This window comes from Homo sapiens, chromosome 2 (assembly GCF_000001405.40).
Source record: "Homo sapiens chromosome 2, GRCh38.p14 Primary Assembly".
Lineage (NCBI taxonomy): Eukaryota > Metazoa > Chordata > Mammalia > Primates > Hominidae > Homo > Homo sapiens.
The window spans coordinates 143,096,641-143,119,343 of NC_000002.12; the positions used below are offsets into that span (position 1 = coordinate 143,096,641).

The 22,703-nt window shown below is 35.2% G+C and overlaps 7 pseudogenes; 1 reads left to right on the forward strand and 6 right to left on the reverse strand.

The window, feature by feature from the left end:
* MTND4P22 (MT-ND4 pseudogene 22) lies at positions 122-1,485 on the reverse strand (annotated as a pseudogene).
* MTND4LP12 (MT-ND4L pseudogene 12) lies at positions 1,483-1,777 on the reverse strand (annotated as a pseudogene).
* Positions 1,844-2,179, reverse strand: MTND3P9 (MT-ND3 pseudogene 9; annotated as a pseudogene).
* Positions 2,258-3,293, reverse strand: MTCO3P5 (MT-CO3 pseudogene 5; annotated as a pseudogene).
* On the reverse strand, positions 3,289-3,972 carry LOC124906080 (ATP synthase subunit a-like; annotated as a pseudogene).
* Positions 3,297-3,972, forward strand: MTATP6P5 (MT-ATP6 pseudogene 5; annotated as a pseudogene).
* MTCO2P5 (MT-CO2 pseudogene 5) lies at positions 4,290-4,715 on the reverse strand (annotated as a pseudogene).

Genomic DNA, 22,703 nt, shown 5'->3' on the forward strand with positions numbered 1-22,703 from the left:
TGTTATTAGGCATGGGGGCATGAGTTAGCAGTTCTTGCATACTTTCTCGGTAGATAAGAAGTTACAGGCTTCTATTATTAGATTCACAATCTAATGTTTTGGTTAAACTATATTTACAGAATGCAAACCCCATAATAATAAGGATTAAGGATAATAGGAAGATAGGTGCAAAGTGTATAAGTATTAATGTATTTTCTCATGTAAAGGATGGTTTAATACTGTTAATGTAATACACAAGTGTCCCTCGTTGTGTTGTGGTTAGCATATGTGAGGAGTAAAGGGCTGTAATTAGTATATTAAGTCCTATAAGCATAATGGTGATGTTTGATCAGGAGAATGAAGCCATAGCGAGGAAGAGTTCTCCTACTAGATTAATAGCAGTGGGTAAGGCAAGGTTAGTAAGACTTGCTAAAAGTCATCAAGAGGCTATCAGTGGAAGCAGTGTTTGAAGGCCTCAAGTAATATAATTTGGCTATGGACTCGCTCATAATTCAAATTTGCTAGGCAGAATAGTAAGGATGAAGTGAGTCCACGGGCAATTATAAGGGTGACTGCACCTGTAAAGCTTCAAGGGGTTTGAATGAGAATAGCTATAATAACAAGTGCTATGTGGCTTACGGAGGAATATGCGATAAGTGATTTTAAATCAGTTTGTCATAGACAAATAGAGCTTGTCATAAGATCCCTCATAAGGATAGTATGAGGAAGGGGTAGGCTATATATTTGTTAGGGGGTTGAGGGTAAGGGTAAGCCGTATAATACTGTGGCCACCTAGCTTTAGGAGTACTGCTGCAAGTACTATTGAGCCAGCAATAGGGGCTTCCACGTGGGCTTTGGGGAGTCACAGGTGAAGTCCATATGGAGGCATTTTTACCATAAAAGCTAAAATACATGCTAATCATATAAGATTATTAGAACAGGAGTTTAATAGTTCTTGGGTGGTAAATATTATTACAGTTATATTTAGAGAACCCGAGGTATTTTGAGTATGGACAAGTGTAACAAGTAGGGGAAGGGACCCTACTAGTGTGTAAAATAAGAAATATGAGCTTGCATTGAGTCGTTCTGATTGGTTACCTCAGCGGGTAATGATAATTAGGGTAGGAATAAGTGTGGCTTCAAAGAGAATATAAAATATAATTAGTTCTGTGGCTGTGAATGCTATGATTAAAAAAATTTGTAGGGAAATTAATATGGAAATATAGAGTTTGTTCCATGGGGGTGACTCATTGGAAAGGTGATATTGGCTTGCTAGAATTATAAGAGGTAGTAGTCAGGTTGTAAAGATTACAAGGGGCGAAGTTAGAGGGTCAGAGGAGAAGATTAATGAGAAGTTAGATGAGTTATCATTTAATTGGTTAAAAATAGTAGCGTAATAAGGCTGATGAATGGGCTGTGAGTAGTCATGTTAATTCGGCATATAGAGTTTTTAGAGAGTCATGTTATTGGTAACAGTATAATTTTTGGAATAATAACTTCTAGCATTGAAGTAAACTTAGATTTTGTACATAATCTAGGCTGTATATGTTGGAGACTGAAACTAGTAAGGCAAGGCCCACTGCAGCTTCACAGGCAGCAAATACTAGGAGAATAATGGGTATTGTGGATGCTAGAGCGAAATGTATATTTAAAGTTATAAGAGTAATTATAATGAATATTGATAATATTATGCCTTCTAGGCATAATAGGGATGATTTTAGGTGGGATCGATAGACTAATATTCCCAGAAGTGCTATGGTGTATGCTAATATAATATTGATATAAATAAAGGGCATTTGGTAAATATGGTCTATCATAATCTAATGAGTCAAAATCATTCATTTTAATTTAAACTATTTACCAATTCAACTCAATCTAATCCTTTTTGAGTTCATTCCTAAGTCAAGCCTAGGATTAAAATGGTAACTAGTATAAGGGCTGTGCTGATTATTAGTGTCAGGTTGTTTGTTTGAAGGGCTCATGGCAGGGGTAGGAGTAGAGCGATTTCTAAGTCGAACAGGAGAAATGTGGTGGCCACTAGGAAGAATTTTATAGAGAAGAGGAGGTGGGCGGAGGTTAATGGATCAAATCCACCTTCATGAGGGCTGGATTTTTCTATATAAATATTAAGTTGTGGGAGTCAAAATGTGATAACTGTTGGTATTGGGGCCAGTAAGGTGTCAGTTACTAGGGCTAGTGTCAGGTTAATTACTCTTTTTTGGATATTATAGAAACTTATTGATTGGAAATCAATGGTACTGCTTATACTAAAAGAGTAGGATCCTCATCAGTAGATAGAGACGTATAACAATAGTCACACTACATCTACGAAGTGTCAATATCAGGCGGTGGCTTCAAAGCCAAAGTGGTAGTTAGATGTAAAATGGAATTTTAATTGACGGAGGAGGCAGATAGTGAGAAACGTTGACACCTGTAATCGCAGCACTTTGGGAGGCCGAGGTTGGCAGATCACCTGAGGTCGAGAGTTCAAGACCAGCCTGACCAAAATGGAGCAACCCCATCTCTACTAAAAATACAAAATTATCCGGGCGTAGTGGTGCATACCTGTAATCCTAACTACTCAGGATGCTGAGGCAGGAGAATTGCTTGAATGTGGGAGGCAGACATTTCAGTGACCCAAGATCATGCCATTGCACTCCAGCCTGGGCAACAAGAGCGAAACTCTGTCTCAAAAAAAAAAAAAAAAAAAAAAAAAAAAAAAAAAAAAAGAGCGTTGAGCCATAATCAGAGGTAGTAAAAGGGGCCTCGAAGTATTCTGAAACTTGTAGCAGGGTGAAGTATATGCCTAAGGTAATTGTGACAGCTAGTTTTTGAATTATTTGCTTTTGACTACCTTCCATCAGGCTGTGATGAGCTCAAGTAATTGAAACTCCTGAAGTAAGTAACACAGATGTATTCAGGAGGGGTACTTCTAAAAGAATGAGGGGAAGAATGCCTGTTGGAGGTCAATATCCCCCTAACTCTGGAGTTGGAGCTAGACTAGAGTGGTAGAATGCCCAGAAGAAACCAGCAAATAAAAGTACCTCTGAGATAATAAATAGAATTGTTCCATATCGGACACCTTTTTGGACAATTGTTGTATCGTGGCTTTGAAATGTACTTCCTCAGATAACATCATGTCATCATTGATACATAGTTAGTGTATTGGTCAGTAGATCTAACGTTAAAAGAGTAATGGAGTTAAAGTGAAATCATATGGCCAGGCCAGATGTTATTAGGAGAGCCGAGAGAGCTCTTGTTAGTAGTCAGGGGCTGGGTTTGACTACATGGTAGGCTTGTGTTTGGTGGGTCATTGTGTATTATCATGTAGATAAAGGCTTACTAGTAGTGTGAAGACATAAGCCTGAATAAGAGCTACAGCAAATTTGAGAATGGTCAGTAAGATTAGAATAATGAGAGAGATTGAAGCTGTGGTGATACTAATAGTTGATAATACTAGTGTGCCTCCTCTAGTTAAATGTATCAATAGGTGACCGGCTGTAATGTTGGCTGTTAATCGCATAGCTAATGCTACTGGTTGAATAAATAGGTGAATAGTTTCAATGACCACCAGTATAGGGATAAGTGGCATAGGTGTGCCTTGCGATAAAAACTGAGCTAAGGAGGTTTTGATTTTAAAGCGGAAGCCTGTGATTACTGTGCCTGCTCACAAAGGGACTGCTATACCTAGATTTATTGATAATTGGGTAGTTGGTGTAAATGAATAGGGTAGAAGCCCGAGGAGATTGGTTGAGGCAATGACGAGAATTAGGGATATCAGCATAAGGGATCAGGTTTGTCCTTTAATATTATGGGTAGTTATTATTTGTTTTAGTGCAAGTTGAACTAATCATTGTTGGATAGAGATCAATCAATTACTGATTAGGTGATTGGAGGTTGGAAATGCATGGTGGGGAATAAAATGATTAATATTACTACGGGTAGGCCTAGAATTGTTGGGGTAATAAAAGAGGTGAATAGATTTTCATTCATTTTAATTCTCAGGAGTTTTTATGTTTTTGTGTTTTGATTATTTTTGGTGTAGGAGATACATGGTAAATGAAACTTGATAATTTTAACTGAATGATCGAGAATAAGTTATGATTATTGACTGGGTAACAATGAATCATGTGGAAGTATCTAGTTGAGGCATTCACTGTAGAGAGGTGTAGATCATCTCAGTCTTTAACTTAAAAGGTTAATGCTGGATAACTTTACAGTGATGTTATAGTATGGATGTAGATCAGGTTTTGAAATTTTGTAAGGGAATTAATTCTTGGATGATAGTATAAAACAAATTTCTGAGCATTATCTGTGGTAAAGGCCTGGTCGTGTAGCAGTTAAGGTGGATTGATTTAGGCGTCCACAGATTGCGTCTGTTTTGAGGCCCAGTGAAGGGAGAGTTCATGAGTGCAGGACATCTTCAGATGAAATTAATATTTGGATAGGAATTTCTATTGGGAGGATTGTTTGGTTATCAACTTTGAGGAGTGGAAGTTCTCCTGATTTTAAGTCTGCTATTGGGATTATATAAGAATCAAAGCCTAGTTCTTTATAGTCTGTACATTCATAGCTTCAATATCATTGATGGCCAATTGTTTTGATGGTATTAGAAGGATTATTAACTTCATCTGTTAAATACAGAATACATAGGGATGGGAGGGCAATTAAAATTAAGATAAAAGCAGGTAAGATAGTTCAGACAGTTTCAATTTCTTGGGCATCTATGGTGCTGGGGAAGAGATAAAGGAAATGGTCCAGCTACTTCGTAGCTGCCTTAGAATTCCTGATCCCTTTACCATGAAATGCTTTACCTTCATCCCCGGCTTTGGTCAGTAACCAAAGACCGATTTTCTCCTAGAAGGCAGGCTTCCAAATCATTCACCCATGCGTTCTTTGAAGTTCATAGCTGCAGGAAGCAGACTCAGGTGGAGGTTTGTGTGCAGGAGGTATTGGGAAATGCTCTTGAAATCAACACAGTCTGTGTGGCGGGAGGAGAAGGAAGCAGGACTGGGCTGACAAGAAAAGATGAGCTTTCAAAGACTTCTCAGTCAACTGCAGAGAGCTCCCAGCAGGGTGGTCCTTCAGAATTGCCTTCCAATTGCAGTTCTTTGCACTGGGCACATCTCCATAGACACAAGCTGTTCCTGGGGAGGGGAGCATAAATCTACCTCAGACTAGGGACAGATATTTACTGAGAGAGGCTAGTCCCCAGCATTCTCGGCGATGAATGTTTTGGAGAATGAATGTTTTGGTCCTGAAGGGTGAGGGGTTGACATCAAAGTTAGGGAACAAAGATAAATGATGGACTAGGAAAACAAGATGGAAGATTTGGGAGCAAATGGGGATGGGATAGCCTAATATTTCCTATACTAATCATTTTGCTTGTTATTGTTTGTAGGTTTGAACCTATGTGACATGTCAGGTTTAATTATTAGGAAAGGAACAGAGGTAATAACCTGATTCCTGCTTCTTCCCTCTTTCCTTGTATAGGATCTGATCTTTTATCTTTAGTCCAATGAGCCTGGGTACCTGTGCATATGTGTGTATTTTACAGCAAGCCATAACAAAATCACACTTAATATGGAAACATTATATATGTGTATATATGTACATATATGTGTAAACATACATATACAAAAATCTGTATAAGCAGGAAATCCTGCTTGATAAATTTTTGTGGTTATTTTGGGCTGGAAGTGTATTTGCAGTTGATTTTTGTGTAACTAAAAGTCTAATCTGAAGATGGTTTTCTTTTAAGAAAAAAAAGGAAAACAAAAAATCAAGATTTTTAGTAACTACTAGAATTAGAAGTAGATCACAAAATTTATTTCTCATGTATAAATCTAGAAGACGTTAATAAAGTTAATAATTTAAAAAAATTGTAAAGAGAAAATTGTCCCCGACCTGGCCTGGGACAGACCTTTTAAATCATAACCTCCTTCTGGGAAGAAATTAGCATTCCTGATAAACTGATTAAGCAATTTTCAGATAAACTTTTAATGATATTAAGACCTCTTCTGGGAAACCAGTTGTCATTTCACTCAGCTGAGTGATAGTCAAGAGTTCAATGATCTTTCTGCAGACATATTTTTATGTTTCCTTTTTGCTAAAAAAGATATCTAACCATCAAGATGAAAGCTTCAAATTGTCTAATTTAAGATCTTTTCTTTTTCAACAATGTAGAAATAAAATTTGATCAGTGCACATAACTAAATTTCTTGGGGGAAAATATCCTTTTTATATGGGAAGTATTTCACTAATATTTGGTACCATTTAGAAACATAACATCCTTTAAACATTTTAAGCTACAGTGTAATTTCAGTGTCCTCAATTTCACTCATTAAATACTTACATTGGCTGAAAAGTTCTTTGAGTACTTAAACAATTCTTATGAAGTTTTCTCAATTAATTTAAAAAATAGAATAAACCTACACCAATGATGTTCTAATACTCTACATAAACTTACTGAGATTTTAAATAAAAACCTTAAATGTAAGATTACACAATTGCATGTTTTAAACTGGAGTAGCAAGCCTGACCTGTTATTTTAATATGTCAAATTCTCCAAAACATTTCAAATATTTGAAATATTAAATATGCACAGCTGGCTTAACAACAATGGCAAAATAATAATAATATCATGAATGTGATTCTCTTAAGCATTTTGTTGCTTAATTCTACTTCATCTCAAGGCAAAAAAACAAACAGAAAAACAAAACAAAAAAAACAAACAATTGTACAAAATGAAACAATTATGACACCAGCACAGTTTTGGTTACTTTCCCATGAATTTTTGGGGTTTGCCTTTCCCTTTTCTGGTTCTTTTTTTTTTTTTTTTTTTTTTTTTTTTTGAGATGGATTCTTGCTCTGCTAACCAGGCTGGAGTGCAGTGGTGCTATCTCAGGTCACTGCAACCTCAGCCTCCCAGGTTCAAGTGATTCTCCTGCCTCAGCCTCCCGAGTAGCTGGGATTACAGGCACCCACCATCACATCTGGCTAATTTTTGTATTTTTAGTAGAGACGGGGTTTCACCATGTTGGCCAGCTTGGTCTCCAACACCTGACTTCAAGTGATCTACCCACCTCTGCTTCCCAAAGTGATGAGATTACAGGGGTGAGTCACCATGCCCAGCCTACTTTTCTGGTTCTTAAAGACCAGAATGTATTGATTGGCCAACAAGCAATGGATCCTTATCTGGGATTCCGATGAAACTTCCCATGTTTATTATAGGATCTAAGAAAACCCTTCTAACTTAAAATGGGCAGACATTTGGATGATATCCTTATACTTGAGTCATATCATTACCAAATCTTCACATTAACCAAGAGTCTGTATTAACCTACCACAGAATTACATTTCATTCAATTCTGTATTTTTTCTATAGAAATAGCTCTTATTCTAGATCTAAAGGCCCATGAGCTCAAAGGATTTTCACTTTATCTTAGTTTCATATAAGTTTAGCAGATATGAAAATGATATCCAATGAAATCCATATATCTCTCTTGAATCTGTATGATTAGTGAGTCACAATTACCAAAGTCATTCTGTGGACATTGTTCTTTCTCTAAGCTCTTGAACTTCTTGCTTCTTTGTCTGAAAATAATGTCAACAAGCTGTATTTTCCTCACTACAAAGTAAGAATATTGTCCAACTCACAAGTCTGGACAACTCACAGTACTTAATTAGGTAGTATTTCTAAAATTTATTTGTAATAAAATGAGTATTGCTGGGTTTTTAAAATTACAACTAGTAACCACCCCTTATTGGGTTTTTATTATAGGCCAGCCACTACAATAGGGACTTCACATTATCTAGCAATGCCATGTCATAAATAATATTAGGTTGGTGCAAAAGTAATTGTGGTTTCACCATTACTTTTGCACCAACCTAATTGTAACCTTTACTTCAGAACTAGAACTTCTTTTCAGAGGTTAAGGGATATGCCCATAGTTGTGATGCTAATATTAATGGAAACAGAATTTAAACCAGATCTCAGGAACTACAAGCATGGCTCTTTTATATGAGCAGTGGCTATAGAAAAGGAGTCCTATATGCTAGGTGCTGTAGGCAACCAGAAATGTGTTCAATGATCAGTCTAAACGGTAGCAACCCAGTCTTGTCACAGAAGTGATCCACTATTTCTTTCACCATACTTTTCTTTAACCTCCATAAATGGCCTTTTATTCTTTTGTTTGTTTGTTTTATCTTTGCAAGACATATATTACTAACTATATAGGAAGTAGTTCCCAGACAGAGAATATGTTTCACATTGTTTGGGGCTCCTTGATAACATGCAACATCATTCAGTACACAGGATACACAGGGTAGATGCCAAGGAAGTAGTTGCTGAATGAATTAGGCAAACGTTTTTTTTTTTTTAAAAAAAGGACATAGGTTTATGTTATTTAGTACTTCAAGCAGAAGAGATATTTTGTGGGGAAAGAACATAAACCCTTAAAAAACTTACACTTTTCAGTTCTGCACTATATGAGGCATTTTTCAGTTCTATACTCCAGGCATTAGTTCTGCAATACTCTAAGTATTTACACACTATTTATTCAAGCCTTTCAATACCCACAGAGATAGGCTGTATGGCCACAATTTATTATTGTTATTGTCACACTGAAGAAGTCAAGGGACTTGTCAAAGGATAAAGATCAAGGAAGGGTCAGGGCCAGACTATGGAGGGCATCTGATTTTACTCATAAACAAAGAGCCTGTGTCTTGATCATGAAGTGAGCACTGAATACTGCTAAGTGTTGAAATTATTTCCTACCTAAATGCTGAGCATTCTTATTAGAACACTTTCACAGAGTACTTGTATTCCTCAACTGAGTTGATTTAAATATAATACCATCCTACTGGATCAGCCACTTGAGAAAATGTAAAATGTGCCAAATTGATCTCAATGCCCTCTTACTCCACCTACATTTTGTATACACCTTTTGTACTCCAAGCATCTGTCACCCAGTGGATCCTCAGAATTTTCCAGTGATGCCATTCCCATCCTTCTTAAACAGGTCTAGAGTGAAACTTTACGGCTCATTCACAATGCAGTTAAAATTGAACTCATTGTCTTCCTAACTGCCCCAAATGAGCCTTGTTTTTGCTCCCTTTCACCCACTATCTCATTTAATACCTTACCATCCATTCATTTGCTCAAGCTAGATGGTCATTTATAGACTTCCCCTTCCCTCAATCTCCTGTATCTAATCAATCGCCAAATTTTGTTGACTACTTCCTACCACCTTTAGAATTTGTTCATTTTTCTTATTCCCATTGTTAGGATCATAGTTCAGTCACTATCTTTTTTTTTACTTTGGATTAATAAAAATGCACCTCATATATTTCTCTGTCTTGGGTCATAACCTTTGAGTTCTCCACATTGCAGGCAATAGTATCTTCTAAAAGGCAAATATGTTCTGATTGATCCCTTTTAAAAAATGTCACTATGTCTAGAAATTTGGGGACAAAGTATTAATTCTTATCTGGCTCTGATTCCCTTTCAAGCCTCATATTTCACCACTCACCTCTTCCTTCAAACTGCTAGTCAGCTACAATTCACCCTGTTTTCTCTTGCTTTGTTGCATGAGCCATGCTCTGCTGAGAAAACATTTCTAATGCCTTATTTACTGGTTACTTTCTACTCATCCTTCAAGCCTCAGCTAAGTCTTCACTTGCTAATGAAAGCTTTGTTGATGAGTACAAGCCTAATCTATAACAAGGTCTTATGAACTATCTAAATATTCTCATGGCAAAATTAACGACTCCCTTATTTGTGTCTCCATTGCAACAGTGTACTTCTCTGTTTTCATCCTAATCATCATATTGATCCCCACATCCTGAGTTTGGGAAAGAAGTCTGAAACATAGTAGGCATTCATAGAATGTTTGTTCTTTTGTACTATTAAATTCACTCATCATATTTATTATTCATTTAATGTAGGAGACTTCAGATAGCTGAAACACAAGTTTTTAATAGGTCTGTCCTATATTAGAAATTAAATTTATAAAGCAAAAAATAAGAAAATAATAAATCATGCTAACTAAAAGCAGAACATTATGCTTATATGAGTTTGAACAGAATGAGAACTTAATAAGATTAATGTGGAAATGTTTTAAATAAAATTGTGCTAAATGAATGGAGGAATAGTTAATGAAAAACATATTTATAAAATTATTATATGACATAATGCTATATATTTAACTTATCTTCTATTTCTAGCTCTTTTTAGAACACAGCCAAGCATTCTATTGGATGGCCTTTTGGGTCAATTTGATTAATTTAAACAAGTGGGATACTGAAATTTAGATTAAAAAATGAAATATTAAAGATAATAGAGAAAGAGTTATAAAACAATGCAGTTGGTACAAGTGAGGGAATGTAAAATGCTCAGTCAGAATATAAATTTTGATTTTGTGGCATGTGTCTGTCACTGTGTCTTTCTACAAAAACCACAAAAATCACATGAGTTTATTGAATTTTATATTGAGCAGGTGAAATGCAAGTATTAACATAAATATTCTAAGGGAGACTTCTGACGGGTAAGGTAGATTTCAGCATTGTTTTGACCAGTTAAGCAATAATGTTATTTTGTTTGTTTGTTTTTGGCTTCTGTTTTGTTTTTGTCATACAACAAACTTTCACTCAATATTGGTGACACATTTTATTTACATGCCCTGCAACCTTCACAAATGTCTCAGTTATATATCAGTAATTCATGCTTTTTTATTCTTCAATTTTATTACCTAAACTTACTCTTCTAAGCATCATTTTATGTTTCTAGTTAAATATAAGTGAAAATTGATTGGAGTATTTCTCAATGGAATTTTATCTTTATTTCATCATAATTGCTTCATATTTGAATAATGACAGATAAACTGCCTCATTCAATTGCAGTTTTAAGGCTTTGAAGTCACAATAATCCTGAAGCCATGATTATAGCAGAAAAGACATTGGGGGAAATGGAAACTTATGGTGCTATAATTTGCTGGGGGGGAAAAGACTCCAATGGTTAGAACATATTATTTCCTGGACAATTTCTAATCTAGGACATTAAGGCATAAGAGTGAACTGGACAGTTACATCGTTGTCCCACCTTCCTAAATTACTTCTAGAGCAACATTTTATAAATATTGAGCCAAGATTCACATCACAAGTAAATGGCACCACAATTATCTTGTTTCAGGTTGAAGCATTATCTCAGTGGAATTTATAATTCTATTCAGCAACAATTCAGTATTTCACTAATAGAGGGTTCATCAGATCTTTTTCTTTTTTCTGACATTTACATTAAGCGCTGAGTACTTGTTAATACTCTAAGGTATGCATTTCAAAGTTCTCTTTGTCTTCATATTCAGTTTTAAGTAATGAATCCAACAATATGCAAAGGCTAAAAGTAAAACACAGATCCCGCATTTAAAATTTCATTTAATATAGCTGACATATTTGGTGGTGGCTGCTTTACACATACAGCATTTTCATTTGTTGAGTAAGACATTGTATTTCTACAAATGTGGCATTAAAAATTTTCCAAGATCTCAATATACGGTGGCATGAAATACAAAGTAAATAGAACAAATTAAAACATGAAAGCACACTTAGTATAATTCGGAGCACGCAAAGTTACAACATAAGATGTAATATTTATGAAGAGTTACAATGGATAACATGAACTTTAAAATGGCTCCCATTTAAAATTATAGAAAAACTCCTTTTAATGGAAATTTTCCTTGCTCATATAATAAAGCATATTGAGACTCCAAATAGGTCAATAACTTTTTTAAGAATGAAATTATATAGAATGAAATTAATTATATATATACTATAAAATTATATACTTTTTACTAATATTAAATTTTCTAAAGATAGAAAGTCCTGTAAATATCAGTTTCAAATCCAATAGCATCATTCAATATTTCTGCTGTATTGTATCATAGCCCACTATGAATGAAGCCCCCCATAATGTGGGGAAATTTCTCTTAATTGCATAAATTACAATCTTCATGCTAAAACTCTGTTTAAACTCCAAAATTTTGCTTGTTTACATTTTAATGCTGTTTTAACACTCAGATGTCCTACTTCATTTGGGCTCTAGAGGAGACATGAGATTATCTGAGTACTCAATCTATGCACCCCGTCAACTTCTACATGCTTAACAAACTATTTAAGAAACCACCAAGGTTTTTGAATCTTCAAGATGAGTCTATAACTTAAGAAAAAATTCTTTTTTAACATAGCATAACAAAACCATATGCATATAACCTTGACTATTAGTTATTTTCAGAAGATATATTTATGTTTTATGTTATTTCCTTTCCATCCTGTCCTTCGTCAAGTTTTAGATTCTTGCTTGAATTGAGGAGAGCTTTGTTTGGTAGATTTTACATTTGAATTTAATTTGGTCAAGATTCATCACGTTGATTGATTAATTTCAGATTATATGTCTTAATTTACTTTGATTCTAATTTCCATTTGCCAACTTCTCTCTCTTGAGCTTTTTTCTTTAAAAAAAGATCAGGAACTTAGAAGTAGTAGTTGGCAGCATTTGATGTGGTCTATAGACAAGCATGGAGGAAGATGAAAAACTGTATGAAAATATATCAAAGTTCGATTGCCCTTCTGTGTCCAAATGAACGAGATGATATCTGGTATTACAGACCTAGGAAAATAATGCTTCTTTTCCCCACTCACCTCCTAAATCCACTTTGAACGGTTGCAGAGCCCAGAGCAGGAGTAAAAATAGAGACCCATATATCATATTACCAAATAATTAAAAGTTGTAAAACAAATTATTAATAAACTATTAAATAAAACATGGTTCTCTCTTCCCACCATGACATACATTCCCTTATAATGACCTGGAAAACTAGATTCAAAGTTAAAATTCTTATGCTTTTTAGAGTCCACCCTGAAATGCGGGTGCAGGAGAACAGAGCCCCTTGCCCCTGGTTCTCAGTTTGAGTCCTGGTTTATTTCCCACCTTGGGCTCCATCCCACAGCTCAAGGGATTCACTGACATGTATGTCCACCCCTTCCCCTCCGAAACAGCTCTCGCATAGTCAAACCTGAGACCTAGTGGTACACAGAGCCTTGCAGTAAAGGAAAGAATTTTACTAAGATCTGAGAACAGGCTCAAGGCTCTTTGGGCAGGAAATTTCCAAATCTTCAGTACCTTTAGGTGTTTAGGGGTACAGAGACATGGATTTCAGCTAGGCACATGTCCCTGGCCCTGAGGACTCCTTACCCTATAGGAAGGAGAATGACTGAAAGAGAAACCAGAGCAAGGCCTAAAATATGTAGGTCTCATCTCAAGGCAGGGGCTCCACTTGTGTCAGTTTTATGTTAGAGAAAAAGCAACCTAAGGTCATTCATATAAACATGTGAATGGCCAATAGTACTAATTCTTCAGTAGGGCTGAAATGGTCCCCTACTTCTGAAATCAGTGAGGTCACCAAATTCGCATTTTAAAGATCCAATTTGTAGTGCGATAGTTGGAAACCTGGAAGGTGCAAAGTGGCAATTCTGTTGTCAAGTGGGTCAGCAAAAAGCCTTCTTAGTTTATAATACCATTGGAAAAAAAAGAGAGATGGCACAAATCTCACAACACTAGTTAATTAAATTAGGTACAGAAATGGAAAAGGAAAGAAAATCCAGATATTATTTAGTTTTCTGTAACTCTTTATAAAATTTGAAGTCTCTCAATGTCAACTTTTCATCATGACTTTATTTGCTAATGTCCTGGGACCATTCATATCAGAGTCTCCTTAACTCAAGGAGCATTGTAATATAAGAAGGGAGCTTGTAGAGCAAGCTGCTGGCCTTCTATTGTTTTGCCAGTCTAAATCTGCAGCATAGCCTGCTGGTGGGACTGGCACCAAGCCGGATGGGTACAAGGCTATAGTTGTTGTTTATGGGCAATGTCTCTTAATGATCAGTCATTGCCTATGCCTTACCAGTACTTAAATATTTTGTATATCACCCTTATCTGTTGGATCTGTTCATTGCCTTTGGGGCTAAATGAAAGAAGTAAATTATCTGAAACATAATCTCAAGTAAGCTGTACACAAGAAAATGGTAAATGCATTTTAAATATAGTAAATATTGCAATAAGTGAAACTCAGATATAAAAAGAATGGCATTAGTTCTCTACTATTCAATCTTTTGTCATGAAGTGGGCTAACTCAACCACAGGAAGCATGACTCAGGAGACAGTGTGTTCTACATTTCCAGTATTTTTTTCTGCCCAAATCTCTTCATATATGGCTGATCGAAGTAACCGAGTCTCCAACTAACTATAGAGCCATGTAACTGTGAGATTTCTGAATTTACAACCTCCCTACAGGAAGTACCAGGTGGCCACGAAAGGCAGCATGGTCCCCATCTCTAATTAAGCTAATGTAAACAAGTGCCACAAGATGGCGCCAAACCACAGATGAAACTGACGCCAATTTGGATTCTTTGGGTGGATGGATCTCCCAGAACTTCCAGCTGGCTAGATGACAGGATAGCCCTTGTGATTTCATTCATTAACCTTGCAATAATACAGTCTTAGGTTTTGCATGATTCTTTTTTATTATTTGGGTCTCATTTATCTTCTTTTAGAGGGATTGTACTATACAAATAAATAAAACAAGAGAGAGAGGAGATGGAGACACCGATCAGTAAAACCAAATAGGAAAGTTTGCATAATAAGATGTGGAAGAGACAGCAAGTTTGTTTGGACAGCCAAATGTCTACTAATTGTGAATGATGCCTATGATTAATTCTACAAACTGGAGAAGGGCTCAGCATTGATAATGCTATCAGTATTGGCAACATTTTCTTACTCTGTGACATTGCTTTGTATCAGCCAATATTTCAAGAAGTGTCTCCCTAAATTAAGTGAAATAATAAAAGTAGCCACAATCCATCCACCAAAATGGTATTTGTTAACACAGATAGTATGACGAATTTTTGATGGCTCTACTTTGATTTAAGAATAAAGAATGAGCACTTAGGAATGACATGATTTTAAACTGGACCTTGGCTTAACCACAGGATTTCACCTTCTTTTAACTCATTGATGTGTGCTTTTGTATACACATGCATCCATATATATATATATATATATATATGCTTATATATATATATGCTTATATATACACTTTTATGTAAACTCTAGACATACAGAGCTATTTTTTCATTAATAATGTAGGTTTTACTTGTTTATAGTTGAAGGTAGAGTATCTCACTAGATTTTGTATCGTCCTAGATTTTGTGATCTGTAAAGAAAAAAAAATCATACTGGTCACCTAAAATTAATACAACTTAATAATATAAAATTTACCTAAGCTTTCATTTTGGAGTCCAGAAACAGTGGCTTATCCATTAACCATTTTGCTCTTCTATGTTATGGAATCCCAATTTTCTTTTTGGCTGTCAGTGTGCCCAGCTTTTAAAAGACCACATTTATGAACTTTGTTTTCCTGGCCTATAGTGGTCTGTAACATAAAAGTAAAATTATTAAGTGAAACAACTAAGAGAGTGTTGTTTTGCTCATTTGCCTTTTATGCCCCCAAGGAACTCAGACATGAAGGCAGGAGCTAAGGCAGCTGTCTTGGCATCATGAGGGCAAAGATAAAGAGTCACAAACACCTGGACCCTTGCTATTCTAAGGCACTGAATCAGTGCCAGCAACGAACTAGTTTTAGATTCATTATGTAAGAAAAATAAACCCTATGTGTCTAAGCCACTGATATATTGCATTTTCTTTTGTAAGTAACTGAATACAATCCTAACTAATACAGAGAATAAATATCAATCATCTTTATATGATTGTCTTAAACATATAAGTGCGCTAAAACTAGATACCCATAAGTGTTTATTGAAATGAATTGAGCTAAGATTTTGCAAAGCTTTTTACAGCTGTAATGTTTCTAACTCAGTTTATAAGTAATGCTAATTTGAGCATTCCAAAAATGCAGTTAATTCAGTTATTATTTATTAGGCATTTACTACATGCCAGGCACTAAAGAAGATACTGGAGATACATATTGTAGACAATACAAAAAACCTACTTGATCTAATGGGGATGCACATTCTTGAAGAGGAAATGAAATGAATAAATAGAAAAATAAATAAAAAATTTAGTACCATGAAAAAGAAACAGAGAGACAAGATAGAAAATGTGGAACAAGATGTGACATTATATAAATAAGTTGAACAGTCAGTCAGAATTTCAAGCTGAAATTTGCAGAAACTAGCTATGGAAAATGTGGGAGCTGGGCATGAGGATGGGGTGCAGAGTCTCCGTAGCAAAGTAGACAGCTAGAGCAATGTCCTCCAGGAGGGAAGAGCTTGGCATATTTAATAACTGAAAGAAGAGATAGAGTGGGGACAGAGCAACACACAAAGGAGAGAATGCCTAATATGTTGTAAATGCTCAAGATATATTTGTAGAATAAACAAACATGACTACTGTAAAATAATTATGTCGATATAATTAATCAGTAATAATTAGGACTGAAGTTCAAAAAATACCATACGCTTAAATAGCTCTATTTTTGACTATAACTTACATTTTTTTTTCTTTTTCTTTCTTTTCTTTTATTTTTGAGATAGAAACATTGCCCTCAATCTTCCAGTGAGCCAATAAAGGTTTTACAATGAGTTAAGCATAGTAAGAAGATAGTATTGTTTCCCAAGAGCCACAATAGATTTTTTTTTATTGTATGGAAGGATAAATACATGTTTTCAGTTTACATAATCAAGCATATTTTAGAGAGTAAAAATGTAACTCAGCTGAAGAATCATTATCAGATTTTTTTTTAAACTGGAAACTTTCCCCCTGCCCCCAGCTGTCTACAGAAATAGATTATTTCTTCTAATTTTCTGATTTAGTTATAGTCATAGTGTACATAAAAACAGATTTGATTTTCTTGGAATCAAACATAAAATGAAAGCCAAGGCCTTATCATTGAAACAAGACAGCAGTTTTGCAAAGCTGTGTACATCCTTTGAACTCAGATGACATTGTCTCAGAGGAAAAGATGTTTGATGAGTTTTTTACACTTTAAAGCTCTTGCTAAGGAAAATGAGCTAGGAATCTCCTTTGGTAGAATTCAAGGGGGGTGGATCATTTCGTCTTCAAAAGATGAGGGGAAAAGTGTCATTTTCTATTTCCCTTAAGTATCATTCTTTCAAATACTTGTGTGACAAGAGGTTCAACAGGCTTAGATTTGAGTTTTTAGTTTTCCAGAAATGCATAGAGGACTTAAATGGCCCTGTACATCAAAAGGAAGAGAGAGAGAAAGAAATCCCCTAGAAAGAAGGAAATGGTGTGGAAAACCCTTGAAAAATATAGTTCATAAAATTGCTATAATCAATTCTACATCCTACAATTTAAAAGGAAATTAACAATTGAAACCCAACACTGAACTAACATTATGCACATCTAATTTAAGTTGTCAATGATAAACTCAGCAAGAAATTCTCTTTAGAGATAGAAACTTTGAAATGTATTGGTTTATTCCACATATATAGATTATGTGGCAAGGCCTATATTGGGTGTTGTATTCATATATTGAAGTTGAGGTCAGGTCGAGTAAAGTAAGAATAAAAAATAAGACAATATAGCATAAAGATTTGGAAGAAAGAATGAAATGACCAGTGATTGAAGTGATGAAAAGTACAAAGGAGAAAAGTCATAATTGGAAGAATTGAATGCACTGATAACTGCAAAGGGTTTGGGATTTTGCTCTATGTACAAACTAGCAAGGAAGTCTGCTGACGTTTTAAAGATGGTGGAAGAAGACTGGAGAGTCCTGGGTCAGATACAAAGGACTTTTACTCACAGCACAGCTGGCAGCATGTGCTTCATGTTCCTATCAATTTCCCTTGCCCCTCAGGTCCCAGGGAAGCAATGTGGACCTGGGCTCAAGTGGAAAATGTTCACACAGTGAGGTTTCTGTCACAGCTGAGAAAACCTGAAATTACAAAACCCCCATCATGTATAAAGAAAAACCTGTCCAATCAATTTTTGCACCAAAAATAGACATGATCTCTATTATTCTCAGCAGTGAACAAGTCTCTTCTTTGCTCCAGAGGAAGACACTATATGTTCCAAGGCTGTTTCCTATACAAAGTCCTTGAAGAGATACTCCAGAGAAAGCCATTATGGCCTCTAGCCCATAAATGACCAGAAATGCAAGAGACCCATGGAAAATTAACTGCCAACAGGATGTAGAAGGTACAGCAGCTTTTACTAGCATCTCTGCAACATTGTACCACTTTATGTCTTCACAGGCCTTTTTAGTAGACCAAAATATTGGTACAAATAATTCTTCCATGTAATCTTTTAAAAACTCTGCTTATCTCTGTCCTTCCTGAGCAAAGCAAACAGACATAGCTTGGGCAGTTCATAAGACACAAAAGTGTATAAGACCCATGACAAACCCATAAAGACATCGCTTTAAGGAAACATTTTAGGTATTTTTTTTGGCCATACATGTTTTAAATGTGATTTTTTAAGATTCTCATTAATTTATTTTTCTTTATTTTTGTTGTTGCTACTGTATTAGATGAAAATATATCATTGCATTTGCCAAGTCTAGCAGGATGCTATTTATATTTAGGTTGCTATTTATATTTTCTCCATGTCCTAATTATTCTCATTTCTAGTGGTGAACAAAAAGAAAGTTTAGCCTCATTATTATGTTCTTTCAAAGAGGTCCTAACATTATGTTTGAATCTAACCAGATAGAAATGCTTCTGTTGTGTTTCAGTGTGAAACACGTTAGTGATAAGTTGTAATATAAAACCTTGAAATAACTCAAAATCCGTTTCTGGGAACTATGTGGCCCCTGTGTGTGTATATGTGCATGCTTTAGTTTAGAATATAACTTTTTCATGAAGAAAAGACATTCAACAAAATTCACCATCTTTTCCTGATAGAAACTCTCAACAAATTAGGTACAGAAGAAAATGTATCTCAACTGAATAAAAACCGTATACAGAAACCCATGGCTAACATCATACTCAACTGTGAAAGTGGGAAGTTGTTCCTGTAAGATCAGGACCAAGAAAAGGATGCTCACTCTGGCCACTTCTATTCAACATAACAGTGGGGATCTTAGCATAAAAGGAATACAAATGAGGAAAAAAGAAGTTAAATATGCTCTGTTTGCAGATGACATATCTTCTATATAGAAAATCCTGAAGACTCCACCAAAAAAAACCTGTTAGAACTAATAAATTCAGTAAAGTTGCAGAATACAAATCAACCTACAGAAATCCGTAGCATTTCTAAACACAATGAACTATCCAAAAAGAAATAAGAAAATAATCCCATTTACAGTAGATATACTAACTAAATACTTAGGAATAAATTTAACCAAGGAGAAGAAAGAGCTGTACACTAAAAACTGTAAAACATTGATGAAATAAATTGAAGAAGACACAAATACATGATAAGATATTTCATGTTTATGGATAGGAAGAATTTATATCGTTAAAATGTCCATACTACTCAAAGTGATTTACAGATTTAATGCAATGCCTATCAAAACTCCAATGTCATTTTTTTTCAGAAATAGAAAAAACAATCCTAAAATTTGTATGGAATCACAAAAGATTCCAAAGAGCCAAAGCAATTTGAGCAAAAATAAGAAAGGTGAAGACATTGCCCTACCTGATTTCAAAATTGACTACAAAGCTCTAGTAATCAAAACAGCATGATACTAGCATTTAAACAGACACATAGATAAATGGAACAGAATACTGAGTCCACAATCTACACACTTAATGTCAATTGATTTTTGACAAAGATGCCAAGAGCACATAATGGAGAAACAACAGTCTGTTCTATAAATGGTACTAGGAGACTGAATATTCATATGCAGAAGAATGATATTAGACCCTCATCTCACACCATTTACAAAATCCAACTCAAAATAAATTAAAGAGTTACACGTAAGACCTGAAACTGTAAAACTACTAGAAGAAAACATAGGAGGAAAGCTCTGTGAGATGGGTCTTGGAAAAGATTTCTTAGATATGATCTCAAAAGTATGGGCAACAACAAAAATAGACAAATGGGATTACATTAAAGTAAAAAGCTTCTGCATAGCAAAGGAAGCAATCAATGGAATAAAAAGACAATCTATGGAATAGAATATATTTGCAAGCCATGTATCTGATAAGGGATTAATGTGTAAACTCCATATGGAACTCAAACAACTCAACAGTAAGAAAATAAAAATCCGATTAAAAATATACAAAGGATCTGAATAGACATTTTTTCAAAAGAAAACATACAAATAGTTAACAAGTATATGAAAAGATGCTCAACATCACTAATCATCAGGAAAATGCAAATCCAAAACTTGGTATTACCCACAGCTGTCAAGATGACCACTATCAAAAAGATGAAAGACAACAAGTGTGGCAAGGACGTGGAAAACAGGGAACCCTTGTACGCTTTTGGTAGGAATGTAAATTAGTACACCCAATATGGAAAGCAGTATGGATATTCCTCAAAACATTAAAATTAGAGCTACCATATGATCCAACAATCCCACTATTGGGTTGTATTAGGCCATTCTCACAGTGCTATGAAGAACTATCTGAAACTGGGTGATTTAAAAAGAAAATAGGTTTAATTGACTCACAGTTCCACAGGCTATACAGGAGGTATGGCTGAGGAGGCCTCCGGTAACTTACAATCATGGCAGAGGGGGAAGCGGGGACCTTCGTCACATGGCAGCAGGAAAGAGAAAGAGAGCAGGGGAAAGTGCTACACACTTTCAAACAACCAGATCTCATGAAAACTCACTCACTCTCATGAGAACAGCAAGGGGGAAGTCCACCCACATGATTCATTCATCTCTCACCAGCCCACTCTTCCAACATGTGGGGATTATAATTTGATGAGAGATTTGGTTGGGGCCAAAAGGCAAACCATATCATGGGCATATTTCTAAAGGATATGAAATCAGTATGTGAAAGAGATATCTGCACTCCCAAGTTTATTGCAGCACTATTCACAATAGCCAAAAATCAATGAAAAATGGATAAAGAAAATGTGGTGTATATACACAACAGAATACTACTCAGCCTTAAAAAATAAGGAAAAATTCTGTCTGTGACAACATGAATGAACCTGGGGTAGACATCAAGCTAAGTTAAATAAGCCAATACAGAATGGCAAATACTGCATGATCTCACATATAAGTTGAGTGTTAAAAAGTTGAACTCACAGAAACAGGAGAGTAGAATGGTGTTACCAAAGGCTGGGGAGTGGAGGGGTTGGGAAGATGTTGGCCAAAGGACTCAAAGTTTCAGTAGGTTCTAAGTGTTCTCACCACAAAAGAAGAGGATAAATACGTAAAATAATGAACATGTTAAACAGCTTGATTTAACTATTCCGTGACACTTACATATCAAAACATCACATTGTACACCATAAATATATATAGTTTTTACTTGTTAATTTAAAAAATAAAAAAATAACTTTTTCAATGAAAACTTTCTGTTATTGCTTAGAGGTATTGGGTTAACTCATTCCATCAACAGCATATCTCCAGTAGTATGTGATAAATATATAATAATGGAATCTCTGAGAACTAAGGCCCCAGATTATAGAAATGTTGCCAATTTCTGTGGTGTAAATACTCATTCAAGCCTGCTTCAGCACATTACTAGATAGCCTCATCAGTTGCTTATACTTTCCATCTGTAATATGGGCTCATTGGAAAATTGGAAGGCTACAATTTGGTGTTTAGTTGGCAAAATAAAATGTATAATGAGGTATGACAGCAGCCAGATAATCACAGAGAATAATTGCAGTTCTTTCCTTCTGGCGGGTACAGGGCTCATAAATTATCATATTCACCAGAGCAGAGAGCACAACCCCATCAGTCAATGCCTCTCTTTACGTGTACATATACACAGCCTGATAATGCATCAGAATATTTCCTCAAAATTCAGTTCAGAAAAATCTCAGTTAATGGATATCATACTCATCTCAATCTACCATCTTCTATCCTAGTCCCCTGTAATGTCTTCAAGTCTTTTAATCAATTGAAGGATATTCTAAGCCTTTACTTCTTTATATTTTGTTTTCTACCATTTTATTTATTCCTTTCCTTTGGAACTCCTTTGAGATGTATTAAATTCTTCATGTTTCTTATTCATTCCTTTGTATTTGGCATCTTATTTTTCTTGCCATATTATTGTTTTTTTTCATGTCTTTCTTCAAGTTTGCTAATTATCTATTCACCTATCATTGATTTGCTATTTGGTATATCTTTTAAATGTTTAATCTTACTACTTAAAAAAATTCTAGTTGATTCTTATAAAAATAGCCAGTCATATTTTATGAAGTGCTGGTTTTCCTCATGGCATCTATTTAATTTGTAATCTTTGTATTTAACCTTACTACTTTCATTTTGGAGGTTCTTTCTGGTTTTCTATAAACAAACTTTGAAGAAAGTATTTGTCCTGTTTTTATTCCTGATGACTTTTGCAGGTGCTTGATAACTTCTTGATATGCAGTGTCATTTCACATTGTGAAAGCATTTTATTATGAGAGTGTGAGTGTATGGCTGGGGCTGAACTTCCATGCAGTCTGGGTTGAGAAAGTGTTGGCTACATAGTTGTTTTACATTTGTTTCTTCTAAAGGTCACGTGGGTTTCACTGAGCTACAAGCTGTTTGTTTGTTTTTTAATTTTTTATTTCCATA